Genomic DNA, 16,150 nt, shown 5'->3' with positions numbered 1-16,150 from the left:
CCCTCATGGAAAAATCCTGCCACAGCTTTGCATTCTTGACTGAGATACTGTTTCTGGAGAATTAAGACCCAATGGCAGCTGGGCGCGGTGGCTCACACTTGTAATCCCAGCACTTTGGGAGACTGAGGCGGGTGGATGACCTGAGGTCAGGAGTTTGAGACCAGCCTGGCCAACATAGTGCAACCCCGTCTCTACTAAAAATACAAAAATTAGCCAGGTGTGGTGGCATGCGCCTGTAATCCCAGCTACTTGGGAGGCTGAGGCATGAGAATTGCTTGAACTGGGGAGGCGGAGGTTAGAGTGAGCTGAGATCACGCCACTGCATTCCACCTGGGCAACAGGGCAAGACTTGGTCTCAAAAGAAAAAAATAAATAAATAATAAAAAACCCAATGGCATGTTCTCCCAAAAACAGCAGTGACTTTCAAAATCATACCTCCTTCCATTGATCATTTCCTTTCTGATTATTTTAATCTGATATTCAGAATTATCTCAGAATAAACCAAACCAAAAGCAGGCTGGACTTTTTTCCATGCTGATACTCTGTCTTCAGATCCCAAAGTCCTTTTTTTTTTTTTTTTTTGAGAGGGAGCGTCACTCTGTGGCTCAGACTCAAGCGCAATGGCATGATCTTGGCTTACTGCAACCTCCACCTCCCAGGTTCACGCGATTCCCCTGCCTGAACCTCCCAAGTAGCTGGAATTACGGGCGTGCACCACCACAACTAACTTTGTATTATTTTTTTTAAAGTAAAGATGGGGTTTCACCATATTGGTCAGGCTGGTCTCAAACTCCTGACCTCGAGTAATCCACCTGCCTCAGCCTCCCAAAGTGTTGGGATTATAGGCGTGAGCCACTGTGCTCAGCCTGATCCCAAATTCTTGAAAACAAAACAAAACAAAACAACATTTGCTCTCTCTCTCAATGTTCAGAAGCACGACCGCGTAGGCTGTGTATTCAGGCTACTGAGTCTTGAACCTGAGACCCTTTCCCCTTGCACTCCCCACCCCACTGCCAACCCCTCCCATCATGCCTGGGCAGCTGTGACGTGGTGAATTGAATATATCCACTGATTTCTAGGATGGAAATCACTACCATAAATGCCACAAGAATATTCACTTTCACGTATGTGAAAATCAGTAGGAAATCTACAAGAAAAAAAATCACAATATTTCATAATGTTTGAACAAAGAGATAACATTTAGTACTCATTGGGAACTCTGGGAAATATCAACAAACTTGAGATTCATCACTGAGTGTAAGTCATTGTGGTTTAGCTGACAGTATAACAATAGCTGCCTCACATTTATAGCATTCAGCTCCAGCCCTGTCATTGTGAAAGAGCATGTTTGTAAAAGTCCAAAGTCAAAGCTGGATGAATTCACCAGAAAAATAGCTATATTTGACCCTGACCTGCTTGTTTGGTGGGTCAGGTTGCACATAACATGGAGCAGGTCTGTTTTCTACACATAGTTGAGCTGTGATGGCTTCCTCTGATTGTGAAGACATTTTGTTACATCTTCTTCAAGGATTGTCTGTTTGAATTTCCAAAGATGATATTTGATTACTCTGCTACATTTTTTTGTCCTCTGTAATGCAGAGGTGTGTTTTTTTTGGTTCTGTTTTTTTTTTTTTTTTTAGATGGAGTCTCTCTCTTGCCCAGGCTGGAGTGCAGTGGCACAATCTTGGCTCACTGCAAGCTCCGCCTCCCGGGTTCACGCCATTCTCCTGCCTCAGCTTCCCGAGCAGCTGGGACTACAGGTGCCTGCCACCACGCCTGAATAATTTTTTGTATTTTTAGTAGAGACGGGGTTTCACCATGTTAGCCAGGATGGTTTCGATCTCCTGACCTCGTGGTCCACCCGCCTCAGCCTCCCAAAGTGCTGGGATTACAGGCTTGAGCCACCGCGCCCAGCCTGTTTTAGTTTTTTAATGGAGACAGGGTCTCACTCTATCACCCAGGCTGGAGTGCAGTGATGCAATCATGGCTTACTGCAGCCTCAACCTCCTGGGCTCAAGCAATCCTCCCATCTCAGCCTCCTGAGTAGCTGAAACTACAGGTGCACACCACCACACCCAGCTGATTTTTGTGTGAGCGTATATTTTGTAGATGTGAGGTTTCACCATGTTGCCCAGGCTGGTCTTGAACTCCTGGACTCAAGTAATCCACCCATGTTGGCCTCCCAAAGTGTTGGGATTACATGTGAGCCACTGTGCCTGGCCAGGTGTGGGTTTGTATCATTTGAGGCCAGAACATAAAGATGTTTCAAAAGAAAAATATTTGAAACTGAATAGCAGTATCACAAGCCAAAAATGGGAAGTTAGAGAGCATGGAACGGATTCTCTCATTGGTTCTTAAGCCATGGAAACGTGGCTTTGCTGTTGAGCCATTTCAGTTCTTTCCTATTCTGTGTTCCTTACCTCTGAAGTTCAAATTCAAATCCATTGCCAGAGTAGAGAAATCGAGAGTAGAGTAGACATGTGACCAGCCACGATAGGTCAATTCCAGTGTAGCAGCTTTTGCTGTTCCTCCCAGGGTGTCTGGGTGTTTTCTGGCGAGGAAGGGGTCTCATCTGGAAGTGGTCTCACGATCACACTAAGATCTGGTGCTGGTATTTCAGGTACAGGCTGGGAAGCACCTTCATATGAGTAATTGTGGCTCCCTCCAAGGTGTAAACAGGGCGAAGAGTGTGTTTGGATATCTGAGCCACCAGGGATGTTAGAGGTTATCTAGCTGGATCCTCTAATTTAAAAGATGATGAAAGTGAGGCTCAGAGTGGTTAAGTCATGTGGCCAAGAGAGGGGAAAAGATGTAGCAGAGTAATTGAATGTCATCTTTGGAAATTCAAATAGACAATCCTTGAAGAAGCTATAAGAAAATATCTTTACAATCAGAAGGAAGGTATCACAGCTCAAATACGTATAGAAAACAGACTTTCTCCACATTAAGTACCATGCCAGGCTGTGGCTAGAGAAGTGGAGTAGGGTCAAGATACAGGGCCGAGGTTGGCGGTAACGATGGAAAATGGACTGAACAGTGTGAGTCGGCAGCGTCGTCATCAACCCCTTCCCTGGCCTGCCTCTTTGACTAACGAGCTGGGTTCATGACTTTTGGCAAATCTCTGTATGCCTCAACGTCCTCATCTGAAAAATGGGAATAACAAATAATACTCACCTATGAGTATGTATGAAGGACTTAGAGCAGTTCCTGGAACACATTAGGTGCTAACTAAGTGCTAGTTACTAGTAGTAGTGTTAAAACAGGTCAGCACAGTGGCTCACACCTGTAATCCCAACACTTTGGGAGGTCAAGTCGGGAGGATCACTTGAGGCCAGGAATTTGAGACCTGGGCAATATAGCAAGACCTGGTCTCTACATATTTATTTTTATTTTTTTAGATGGAGTCTTGCTCTGTTGCCTAGGCTAGAGTGCAGTGGTGCCATGTCAGCTCACTGCAGCCTCTGCCTCATGGGTTCAAGCAATTCTCCTCGCCTCAGCCTCCCGAGTACCTGAGATTACAGGTGCACTCTGCCATGCCCAGCTAATTTTTGTATTTTTAGTAGAGATGGGGTTTCACCGTGTTGGCCAGGCTGGTCTTGAACCCCTGACCTCAGGTGATCCACACGCCCCGGCCTCCCAAGGTGCTAGGATTACAGGCGTGAGCCACCACGCCCGGCCTGAAGTCATTTAAATGAATTGTTTCCCAGACTAATTACACGGCAGGGCACAGAAAGAAGTTCTGAATTGAAAATGCTTGTAAATGATGACTATTAGATTACTTCAGTTTTCAAAAAGGAAAAAATCTAGATTTCTGTAAATATAGATTGGCGAGCTTATAGTAGACTTGATTTAAAAAATGACATGCAGTGATTAAAAAGATGGTTTGAGAAAACTTTTGAAAAGGAAGAAATTTGACACGTGTGTATGGGAGGGGTTTGACGACTGAGGCTCACTAGCTATGGGATGGGGACAAAGTGGAAGCTCACTGGGCACTGAGAATAGGTGTGCAGTGGGAGGGTCCTCACACCAATGAGGACAGAGGAAAGACAGTCCAGGAGGTGGGGGCAAAGGGGGCAGAGTCTGGAAATAAAGCTAGGCAGAGAAGATGGTGTTAAGACCCTCTTGTTTTTTTTGTAGATACTGGGTCTCATTATGTTGCCCAGGCTTGTCTCAAACTTCTGGACTTAACAGATCCTCCTGCACAGGCTTCCCAAAGTGCTGGGATTACAGGCATGAGTCACTCCATGCTGCCAAGGCCTTCATAAGGGTCTCAGGAGGCAACAGGAACCACGTCTTCAGGCATAGCAGATATCGGGCTTGAGTCCAAGCCCGAGACATGGGCCCAGTCCTCGTCAGATATTGAGTCCAAGCCCGAGACATGGGCCCAGTCCTCGTCAGACATTGAGAGGGAGACTAACTTGTCAGCAGCCCCAGGAGCTGGTAACACACACATAACCCATAAACACTTCCCATATGTCATAGCCAGATTCTTCCCTTGGATTTTAGAGCTTGCAAATGGCAAGGGGCCATTTACTGCCTGAAGAATTGGTGGTGACACAGTGCTTGGTTGAACATTAAGTTGAGCTAATTTTACTCCTCTTTGCTGTGCTGTTTCTAAACTGGCAGATCCAGATTCGATAAGCATAGATCGACTGTAATGTGTTTATCATGGATGAGGTAGGAAATGAAAATGGAATGAATTTTTATCTGGTTAATTATAGAACCAGTTGTTTGAACAAATCCAACCAGAAAAGCATTGATGACTACAATGATGTTAACTTGAAGAAATTAATTTAGTGGTAAGAAACAGGGCCCTAGAATTCACTAAAGTGGTTCAAATGAAATATGCTTGAAATAAACATGAATGGTGAAAAAGAAGGTATGCTGAATATAAATTCTAGAAGTGCTACAGAAAAGTCTCAGTGCATTCTCCAGTGTAGACCATACCTAAAACATCACATTCAATTCTGAGTGGAATATTATATAAAAGATTTTACTAAATTAAACCATTGAAGGTGGGTCAGGATAGAGATTCAAAACTGTTGCACAAGAATATGCTATTAATACACAGTTCAAGAAAAATGAGAAGGTGAGGTAAGTATGGCAATGATCCACGTGCGAGGCCTGAGGAGGTTCGTTACGGGGTTATTTTTCTATGGAGACTTCAGGCTGGAATTAAGGAATAAAGTCAGAATCTGGGAAAAGAAATCAGAAGTTTGAAGAATGTGCCAGTCTATGTGGCAGAAGAATGCGTGAGGTCCACACTGTGCAAACAAGGCTGTGGCAGAGGGCGTTCAAGTGAGTGAAGCCAGGCCATTCTGGCCGTTCTGGAACTCACCCCATGAGTGCTGGGCACCTGCCAGCACATTCCTTTGAGGTGCAGTGAGGCAGGATTCATTGGGCCAGGACAAGCTTCTCCTGGTAGTCAGTTGGGCCAAACTGCCCTGTGAAGCTGGGCTTAATCACTGTATTTCTAGAGGGTTATTGCCTCTAGAATGCTTCAATTATTGACTGCTGCACAACTTAGTGTTTCAAAGCAACAGTTTAATCTCTCTCCTGAGTCTGTGGGTTGACTAGTTTCAGATGGATGGTTCTTCTGCTGCATGGTCTGTTGGCTGGGCCCATGGTCAGCAGAGGTTCGGCTAGGGAATAACATCCAACTCAGTTCACATGGCTGGCCATTGGTGCTGTTGACAGGGAGCACAGCTGGGGCTGCTGACCAGAGCACCTCGGTTCTCCTCTGCATGGCCTCCCCACATGACCTAGCCTTCTCCCCACATGGCTGAGGTTCAAGAAGGGGCATTCTCAGTGTGCAGAAATGAAGTTGTCTATCTTGCAAGGCCCATCATTTGGAAATTACACTGTTGCACTTCTGTTGGGCAAATCGAGTCTCAAGGACAGCCATGATTCAAGGGGAGGGGCAGGCAATAAACCCCACCTCTGATTAGAAGAATGGCAAGGAATTTGGGACCATCTTTAATCCACTACAAGGAAAGTGGGGCATGGAAATGGCATAAGGAAATGGGGTTTTAGAGATTCTGAGTCAAAAATGAAAATCATCATCTAACAAATATTATGTTATTAAAGATGATGAGAAATGACACATGTAAAGATCTTTATAATAACTGGAACAGAACAAATTCCCATTAAATAGCTATTAATAATATTATTATTATTAGTGTTTCTGCTATTGAAGTGTCTAAACAGAGGCTGTAAGACCAGATTTTAGGAAGGGAATGAAGGGATTCTTGCATTGGAGATGGAGGCTATTGAAAGATGAATTCTAGGGACTGTGAAGTTTCCATAATTCAACAGAAAGCTAGAAAAAGCCTTCCTCCCATTACCGTCTTGCCTCAGAGCACCTCTCTCCTCTTGTTTAGGTTTCTTCTTCCTTTATTTGGAGAGTCCATTTGAGATAAACTTTGAAAAGAAGGCAGCATAAAATGCAGACCAACAAGAGAAGAATTTTGAGTCAGTGTGGTTCTAGGGTATTCTTTAAGTTATAGCAATAAGAAAAACAAAAAAAATTGGCCCTTTAAAACATGTATGGCATTATTTTTTATATAGGACCTGATCTATATAAACAAACTTACCATAATTTGTTTCTTCTAGATAGAAACTAGGTTGTTGGCCGGGTGCGGTGGCTCAAGCCTGTAATCCCAGCACTTTGGGAGGCCAAGGTGGGTGGATCATGAGGTCAGGAGATTGAGACCATCCTGGCTAACACGGTGAAACCCCATCTCTACTAAAAATACAAAAAATTAGCCAGGCATGATGGCGGGCACCTGTAGTCCCAGCTACTCAGGAGGCTGAGGCAGGAGAATGGCGTGAACCTGGGAGGCGGAGCTTGCAGTGAGCCAAGGTGGTGCCACTGCACTCCAGCCTGGACGACAGAGCAAGATTCTGTCTCAAAAAAAAAAAAAACAAAAAACAAACTAGGTTGTCAATTTATCTGCACAGTGGGCTCCTATTTCTTGAGTATTACTCTGTGTCTATATAGACAAGAAAAAAATATCATGCTTGAAATCACAACTGATTGAAGCTGCTTTTGTCTTTAAGGAAGGGGTATATCATCTCTCCAGAAAATCCAATTCTGTATATAGAATATTATATCGCAGCAGTCCTTGTTTGCCATGCATGGATTTACGTTACTACGATTTAGTTAAATGACACTAGTCCACCAACAACATGGTTTAAGTTTCAATTACTGTAGCATGTCCATGTGAGGAATTGCACAGAGCACACACTTGGCTACCAGCCCTCTCATCCAAAAATCACTGTGTGAATAGCAGATGCCGATGATGCATCTGCTATTTGCATAGAAGCATGATTGGTGACCAATGGCCTCACAGCTTCTCATTCTTTTCCCAGTCTTGGTCACTGCACATCTGTTCTTGGGTTCATGCACAGACAGCAAAGTATGTACTTGTGCTTCTTCCTTATCTCCCAGTGATAAACTCATGTGACACTTTACAAAAATGGATAACTGAAAGAGAGAATGGCTAATAAAAATGAAAGTCCCTAAGAAAACTGACAATGCTGGGAGTAAAATTTGAGTTTGATCATAAATGTAGTTATAGAAGAAATAGCTGACCAGGGGAAGGTTGACATTGCCCCTACCCTGCCCCCACTTCAAGACTCTAGGTGTGCAGCCAGAGAGACTTTGAGAAGGTGAATTTACTGACAGAAATAACGAAAGTGGTTGTGATGAAAAGTATGATGTCTTGGAGAAAGCAAGCCAAAGAACACCAGCAAAAAACACATTGTAAAAAAGTTCTGAAGATATTTGACCACTGAAAACACACACACACACACACACACACACACACACACACACACACTGGAAGTGGATTCAAACTTAGAAAGGGGTAGGACAATTTCTTGAGGCATAAACAAGTTGCTCACTTAGGATCCAAAATTGTACAACGAGAAGAAAATGAGCCCTTCTCAAACTACTATGAATAAGTTTTTAAACAAATATATAAAGTACTTTAATTCTTAATATTTTAATATATGGTTTTTTAAATAGTTTTATCATTTAAAAAATTTTCTATGCATTTATAACTGACAGGAACAAAGCTTTTAATATTTTGAAAACGATTTAAAGATCAGTTTATAATTGTAATTTATCCTGTTGATTAAAATTAGTTTGCACAACATCTGCCTCAATGATGATGTTTACAGCACCATAACACAAAGTGAGAACTTAACCTGTGCATGTGAGTGTGTGTGTGCATGTATAAATACAAAAGTAAAAATAAACACACATACACCCTTGATTTGTGATAAAAGATGAGTTCCACTTTGGAATATTTTAGAACCATGAGGTGAACTTCCACCAGGGTTCATTTGGGAAATTTATGGGGTTATTTTTTTGGTTGCTATGATGATTGAAAGACTGATAGCATTTGGTGAGTGAAGTCAAGAATGCTAAATGTCCTGCTATGCACAGGACAAGACTTAAAAATAAAGAATTGTCTTTAGTAACACAAAACATATGAGTGCTGATGTGGCTTGGCTGTGTCCCCACCCACATCTCATCTTGAATTCCCACCTGTTGTGGGAGGAACCCAGTGGGAGGTAATTGAATGATGGGGGCAGATCTTTCCTGTGCTGTCCTCATGATAGTGAGTAAGTCTCACACTATCTGATGGTTTTAAAAAGGGAAGTTTCCCTTCACAAGCTCATTTCTTGCCTGCTGCCATCCATGTAAGATGTGACTTGCTCCTCCTTGTCTTCCACCATGATTGTGAGGCTTCCAGCTACATGAAACTGTAAGTCCAATTAAACCTCTTTCTTTTGTAAATTGCTCAGTCTCAGTCTGGTATATCTTTATCAGCAGCATGAAAATGGACTAATACAGCAAATTGGTACCAGAAGTGGTATGCTGCTGAAAAGATACCCGAAAAAGTAGAAGTGACTTTGAAACTGGGTAACAGGCAGAGGTTGGAAGAGTTTGAGGGGCTCAGAAGAAGACAGGAAAATGTGGGAAAGTTTGGAACTTTCTAGAGACTTGTTGAATGGCTTTCAACCAAAATGCTGTAGCTATATGGACAATAAAGCCCAGGTTGAGGTGGTCTCAGATGGAAATGAGGAAGTTGTTGGGAACTTGAGCAAAAGTGACTCTTGCTATATTTTAGCAAAAAGACTGGTGGCATTTTGCCCCTGCCCTAGAGATTTGTGGAACTTTGAACTTGAGAGAGATGATTTAGGCTATCTGGCAGAAGAAATTTCTAAGCAGCAAAGCATTCAAGAGGTGACTTGGATGCTGTTAAAAGCATTAAGTTTTATAAGGGAAGTAGAGCATAAAAGTCTGGAAAATTTGCAGTCTGACAATGCAATAGAAAAGGAAATTCCACTTTCTGGGGAAAAATTCAAGCTGGCTGCAGAAATTTGCATAAGTAACAAGAAGCCTAATGTTAATCCCCAAGACAATGTGGAAAATGTTTCCAGGGCAGGTCAGAGGTCTTCACAGCAGCCTCTTCCATCACAGGCCTAGAGGCCTAAGAGGAAAAAATGGTTTTGTGGGCCAGGCCCAGGGTCCCCATGCTGTGTGCAGCCTAGGGACTTGGTGCTCTGTGTCCCAGCCACTCCAGCTGTGGCTGAAAGGGGCTAATCTAGAGCTTAGGCCATGGCTTCAGAGGGTGCAAGCCCCAAGCCTTGGCAGCTTCCACATAGTGTTGAGCCTGCAAGTGCACAGAAGTCAAGAATTGATGTTTGGGAACCTCCCTCTAGATTTCAGAAGATGTGTGGAAATGCCCGGATGCCCAGGCAGAAGTTTGCTGTAGGTGTGTTGTCCTTGTGGAGAACCTCTGCAAGGGCAATAAGACAGGGAAATGTGGGATGGGAGGTGCCTACTGGGTATCCACCTAGTGGAGCTGTTGAGAAGAGGGCCACAGTCCTCCAGACCCTAGAATGGTAGACCCACCTACAGCTTGCACTGTGTGCCTGGAAAAGCCGCAGACACTCAACACCAGCCCATGAAAGCAGCTGGGAGGGTGGCTGTACCCTGCAAAGCCACGGGGATGGAGCTGCCCAAGGCCATGGGAACCCACCTCTTGCATAAACGTTACTCAGATGCATGACATGGAGTCAAAGGAGATCATTTTGGAACTTTAAGATTTGACTGCATTGCTGGATTTTGGATTTGCATGGGGCCTGTAGTGCCTTTGTTTGGCTAATTTCTCCCATTTGGAATGGCTATATTTACTCAATGCATATACCTGCATTGTATCTAGGAAATAACTAACTTGCTTTTGATTTTACAGGCTCATAGGCAGGCGGTACTTGCCTTGTCCCAGATGGGACTTTGGACTGTGGACTTTTGAGTTGATGCAGAAGTGAGTTGAGACTTTGGGGGACTGCTGGGAAGGCATGATTGGTATTGAAATGTGAAGATATGAGATTTGGGAGAGGCCAGGGGTGGAATGATATGGTTTGGCTCTGTGTCCCCACCCAAATCTCATCTTGAATTCCTATGTGTTGTGGGAGGAACCTAGTGGGAGGTAATTGAATCATGGGGGCAGGTCCTTCCCATGCTGTTCTTGTGATAGTGAATAAGTCTCATGAGATCTGATGGTTTTAAAAAGGGGAATTTCCCTGCACAATTGCTCTCGTCTTTTGCCTGCCACCATCCACGTAAGATGTGACTTGCTCCTCCTTCCTTTTCACCATGATTGTGGGGCTTTCCCAGCCACATGAAACTGTAAACCCAATTAAACCTCTTTCTTTAGCAAATTGCCCAGTCTCATGTATGTCTTTATCAGCAGTGTGAAAACAGACTAATACAAGTGCCTTGCCAGATATTGTGTAAGTGTAAGTGAAAGGCAGGTTAAAAATTCTTTGGTCCTATAACCTAATTCTGTTTCACATAATATTTTTGAAATGTTTTAATATACTATCTTAGGGTGGGCTGCTATAACAAAAATACCACAAACTGAGTGGTTTAAACAACAAACATTTATTGCTCACAGCTCTGGAGGCTGGGAAGTCCAAGATCAAAGTGCTGGCAGATCTGGGATCTGGTGGGGGCTCCCTTCCCAGCTTGCAGATGGCTGCCTGCTGGTTGCATCCTCACATGGTGGAGAAAGCAAGAGCTAGTGTCTTTTTCTTTTTCTTCTTCTTTTTTTTTTTGAGATGGAGTCTTGCTCTGTCACCCAGGCTGGAGTGCAATGGTGCAATCTCTGCTCACAGGAAGCTCCGCCTCCCGGGTTCATGCCATTCTCCTGCTTCAGCCTCCCGAGTAGCTGGGACTACAGGTGCCTGTCACCAAGCTCGGCTAATTTTTTTGTATTTTTAGTGGAGATGGGGTTTCACTGTGTTAGCCGGGATGGTCTCGATCTCCTGACCTCGTGATCTGCCTGCCTCAGCCTCCCAAGGTGCTGGGATTACAGTAATCCCATCATGAGGATTTAATCCTCCTGAACTCACCTAAACATAATCACCTTTCCAAAACCCCATCTAGTATCATTCCACTGGGAGTAAGGTTTCAACATGGGAATTTTGGGAAGACACAAACATGCAATCTATAGCATATACATTGAATTTTGAGGGAATGCAAAGACTGAGTAAATCAAGGTTAATTGTACTTTGAATCAAGAAATGTTCACCACTTGAAAAAAGTAACATCACAGTTGCCACTGTTGCTCTTAGGGTACATGAGTAACCCATACCCCATATCTCTGTTAGTCTGAATTTGTAGTGTTGCAGGCATGGTGATCCGTATTTGTTGGTAACCATCCGACTCCTTCATAATGTCTTCTCCTGTGGTTATGCCCAAGTATGTGACTATTAAAAATCATATTTTATTATGGACATGTCCTCCTTTATATTACAATTAAAAATTTATATTCAATTTTTAAAATCATGTGTCTAGATAAGGTACATTATCTATTAATTTTATTTTTGGGGTAGCAGAGGTAGTGTCAAAATATTTATTATAAAAAACAGGACATTAGATCTGACACAGTTGAGAACAATTGGTTCAAGAGGAGACAAAAAGACAAAGGAATTGCTAAAATGTTTTGTGTGCTGTAGGAGTTGAGGGTAGAAGAGACAAAAGGAGTGTGGAAGGGTTGTTTTGGCAATGAGAATGGTGGGCAAAAAAATCTTTAAAAGCAAGAATGAATAATGCCTAATTAAAAAATGCTTCCTATATTCCAAGATGTCTTTAGTGAGTAGTATTTTGGAGAATTAAAAAACAAGAGAGTCATATTCCATGGCTCTATCTGTGCAGGCAAGACACACACAGAGAGAATTACTTTGGGAAGTGTATTAGTCAGCATAGGCTAGGCTATGTCCTGGTAACAAACAATCCCCAAATCTCAGTGGCTTAAACAACAAAAGCTTGCTTTTTCTTGGACATACTCCTTATCCATTTTTGTTGGGCCAAGGGCTCTGCTCTGTGTGGCCCTCACTCCAGTGGCCCAGGCTGAAAGAGGCAAGGCATGTGGCAGGGAGCAGGGAAACATGGAGGAGCACATGGGTTGAATGCTTCTACCTGGAAGTGTTGCATGGCGTTTTCATTTGTAGTTCATTGGCCACCACAAGGCGCATGGCCATGCTTAATTTCAAGAGGGTGGGGGATTGCAATCTTCCCTGTGCCTGGAAGTAGAAGGAAACCAGATCTTGGTATAGGATAACAGCAGCCACTGAAGGAGAGTGCTGAGGTTGGGAGTTGAACATGAAAGAAAGTCAAAGTGACCATTAGAATAAGCCCCAGAAATTGCAAGAATCTTGGGGAGGCCCTTGAACTTGCTGCCAAGCTCAGATTAGCACATTCAAATAGCATTTGCATAGATAACAAAGGTGAGTGGCTTTAGCTGAGGAAGGGTCACTATGCATCACATATTTATACTTTCTTTTTTTTCAACTTTTATTTTAAGTTCAGGGGTACATGTGCAGGATGTGCAGGTTTGTTACGTAAGTAAACATGTGCCATAGTGGTTTACTATACAGATCATCCCATCACCTAGGTATTAAGCCCAGCATCCATTAGCTATTCTTCCTGATGTGCTCCCTCCTCCCATCCCCCACCCTCCAACAGACCCGTGTGTGTGTTGTTCTCCCGGCCATGTGTCCATGTGTTCTCATCATTCAGCTCCTACTTATGAGTGAGAACATGCAGCATTTGGTTTTCCGTTCCTGCGTTAGTTTGCTGAGGACAATGGCCTCCAGTTCCATCCACATCCCTGCAAAGGACATGATTTTGTTCCTTTTTATGGCTGCATAGTATTCCATGGTGTATATGTACCATACTTTCTTTATCTAGCCTATCATTGATGGGTATTTAGGTTGATTCCATGTCTTTGCTATTGTGAATAGTGCTGCAATGAACATACACGTGCATGTTTCTTTATAATAGAATTATTTATATTCCTTTGGGTATATACCAAGTAATGGGACTGCTGGGTCAAATGGTATTTCTGCCTCCAGGTCTTTGAGGAATCGTCACACTGTCTTCTACAGTGGTTGAACTAATTTACACTCCCACCAGCAGTGTAAAAGCTTTCCTTTTTCTCCACAACCTCAACAGCATCTGTCGTTTTTTTGAGTTTTTTTCTTTTTTTCTTTTTGAGACAGAGTCTAACTCTGTCACCCAGTTGGGAGTGCCTCAGCCTCAGACTCCCAAGTAGCTGGGATTACAGGCATGTGCCACCAGGCCCGACTAATTTTTGTATTTTTAGTAGAGAGTGGGTTTCACTATGTTGCTCAGGCTGGTCTCGAACTCCTGACCTCAAATGATCCTCCTGCCTAAGCCTCCCAAAATGCTAGGATTAAAGGTGTGAGCCACTGTGCCCTGCCGTTTTTTTGACTTTTTAATAATTGCCATTCTGACTGGTGTGAGATGATATCTCATTGTGGTTTTGATTTGCATTTATCTAATCGTCAGTGATGTTGAGCTTTTTTCATATGTTTGTTGACCGCATGTATGTCTTTTTTTAAGAAGTGTCTGTTCATGTCCTTTGCCCACTTTTTAATGGAGTTTTTTTTCTTGTAAATTTGTTTAAGTACCTTGTAGTTGTTGAATGTTAGATATTTGTCAGATGGATAGATTGCAAAATTTTTCTCCCATTCTGCAGGCTGTCTGTTCACTCTGATGATAGTTTCTTTTGCTGTGCAGAAGCTCTTCAGTTTTGTTAGATCCCACAGACATTTGTGCTTTCCATGACAACTTGCAGCCTCTCCGGAGGCACCAGGCAGTGACCCTGACTCTGCCGGGAGCCCCTTCCTCACATCGTGTAGAAAGTAAGTCTTTGTGGTCAATGGATGAGGAGAGTGCGCTCTTCTAGAATCACAGAGGGTGTTTTCCTTCCTCACATCGTGTAGAAAGTAAGTCTTTGTGGTCAATGGATGAGGAGAGTGCGCTCTTCTAGAATCACAGAGGGTGTTTTCCGTAGGAAGCTGCTGTGTGGACTCAGGAACAAGGGGCAGCAACCTGGGAGAGTTTGGGAAAATAATTTTAGAGCAGCCACTTATTGGGGGAAACATTCTGGTTTTACTCAGTGTCTGTTGTTACTTTCATGTGGCTGTTGGATGGTGCCCCTATGAGACTCCCATAATTAAGCAAATCCCTTGAAGCGGTCTTCAAAGTGTGTCTCCGCTAGATGGCGTGAGGTGCTCGCCTGTTTCCAGCTGATGGAAGTGACTTGAGCTAAGCCAGGGACCAGGAACTTGAAGGTAAAACAGCGCCTCACGCTGCGGGCTGATGAAATATGCAGTCGGCGGATGTAAAGGACTACGTCGTACTAGAATAATAATACAATACGGGGGCTTTATTGCAGTGGTATTAAATAAATACACACCCAATATCACTAGAGGCAATGAAGTAGTTTTTCCTTTCCAAAAACATAGTCGTGTAACTGTTATTATAGATTGATTCTGATACAAAATGTGCACACAGAATGAATATTTAAGGGTAATTCATTTATAAGGTGTTATTCAGAAACGGCACTTACAAAACAGAAGATGTAGATACTTATTACAGGAAACTAAGCAGCCAATCAACCAATCGGTATGTACCGAATATTTCTGCAGGCAGTGCACGTTGTTACACTGTACGGCAGGTGAGACAGTGTACACTGTGGTTAAGAGTACAGTCTTTGAGGCCAGACAGACTGAGTTTGTATTATTTATTAGCTATGACCTTGGGCACATTGCTGCATCTCTCTGGGCATCAGTTTCCTTGTCCGTAAAACGGGAATAATCATACCTATCTCATAGGGTTATTGTAAAGAGTCAGTCTTTGTAAAGCATTTCAAATATAGCCTTGAACACAGTTAAGAGCTATACAAGTGTCAGTCATCATTATAATTGTTTGTTATGACGTGGCTCTTCACTTTACAAAGGAACTCATTCACTGTAGGGTTCAATGGAACAAAAATGTGTCAAGTACCTATTATGTGCTAGACAGGACATTGATCACTGTGGACAGATCAAAGGACTATGAGAGCGGCTAAGGCGTGGCTCCTGTCTTACAGGATCTAGGAATTTCATAGGGCAGAAGGATCACACAGTTAACTAACCATGCAGAAATGCAAAGGGTGATGGTACTGATACAAATGACTGTGACAATCTGGAAAGGAGGAAATAGTGTTTGAGTAGAGCTTGCAAAAATGGGCAGGGTTCAGTGAGTGGAGGTGCCAGGAAGCGTTTTCAATGGGAGCAGTATGAGCAAAGGCTCCCAGGCCGGGCCATGTGGGCACTTTCGTAAGGTCTGCAGAAGGCTGGAATGACTGAAGTGTGGAGACTCATGGGAAGATATGACTGAAAGTATGTCTCCATAATGACCACTTCAATCATCTTAAACATTTGAAAACTTTTTTTTTCATTTATTCCTCCTACTTTTTATTTCCTGGATTATTTTTAATTTTTAAAATTTTTAATCATTAATTGTTTTAGAGACGGGATCTTGCTGTGTCACCTAGACTGGAGTGTAGTGGCATGATCATAGCTCACTGCAGCCTCAAATTCCTGGGCTCCAGTGATCCTCCTGCCTCAGCCTCCTGAGTAGCTGGGACTACAGGTGCACATCACCACACCTGGCTAAATTTTTGTTGCTGTTGAGACAGGGTCTTGCTATGTTGTCCAGGCTGGTCTCCAACTCCTGGCCTCAAGCAGTCCTCCTGCCTCCACCTCTCTAGGACCTGGG

General features: G+C 43.2%; 2 annotated features.

Moving 5' to 3' along the window:
- Positions 14,549-14,843: an enhancer, noted in NCBI's record as "tiled region #2566; K562 Activating DNase unmatched - State 12:CtcfO". NCBI's record gives its function as "activates a minimal TATA promoter and a strong SV40 promoter by Sharpr-MPRA in K562 cells {active_cell/tissue: K562}" and the evidence as "EXISTENCE:reporter gene assay evidence [ECO:0000049][PMID:27701403]".
- Positions 14,594-14,643: a silencer, noted in NCBI's record as "silent region_2114". NCBI's record gives its function as "represses an Ori minimal core promoter by ATAC-STARR-seq in GM12878 lymphoblastoid cells {active_cell/tissue: GM12878}" and the evidence as "EXISTENCE:reporter gene assay evidence [ECO:0000049][PMID:35858748]".

The sequence above is a fragment of the Homo sapiens genome, chromosome 10, assembly GCF_000001405.40.
Source record: "Homo sapiens chromosome 10, GRCh38.p14 Primary Assembly".
In the NCBI taxonomy this organism is placed as follows: Eukaryota; Metazoa; Chordata; class Mammalia; order Primates; family Hominidae; genus Homo; species Homo sapiens.
The sequence above is the reverse complement of the archived record's forward strand: the minus strand, read 5'-3'. Positions and strand labels throughout refer to the sequence as shown.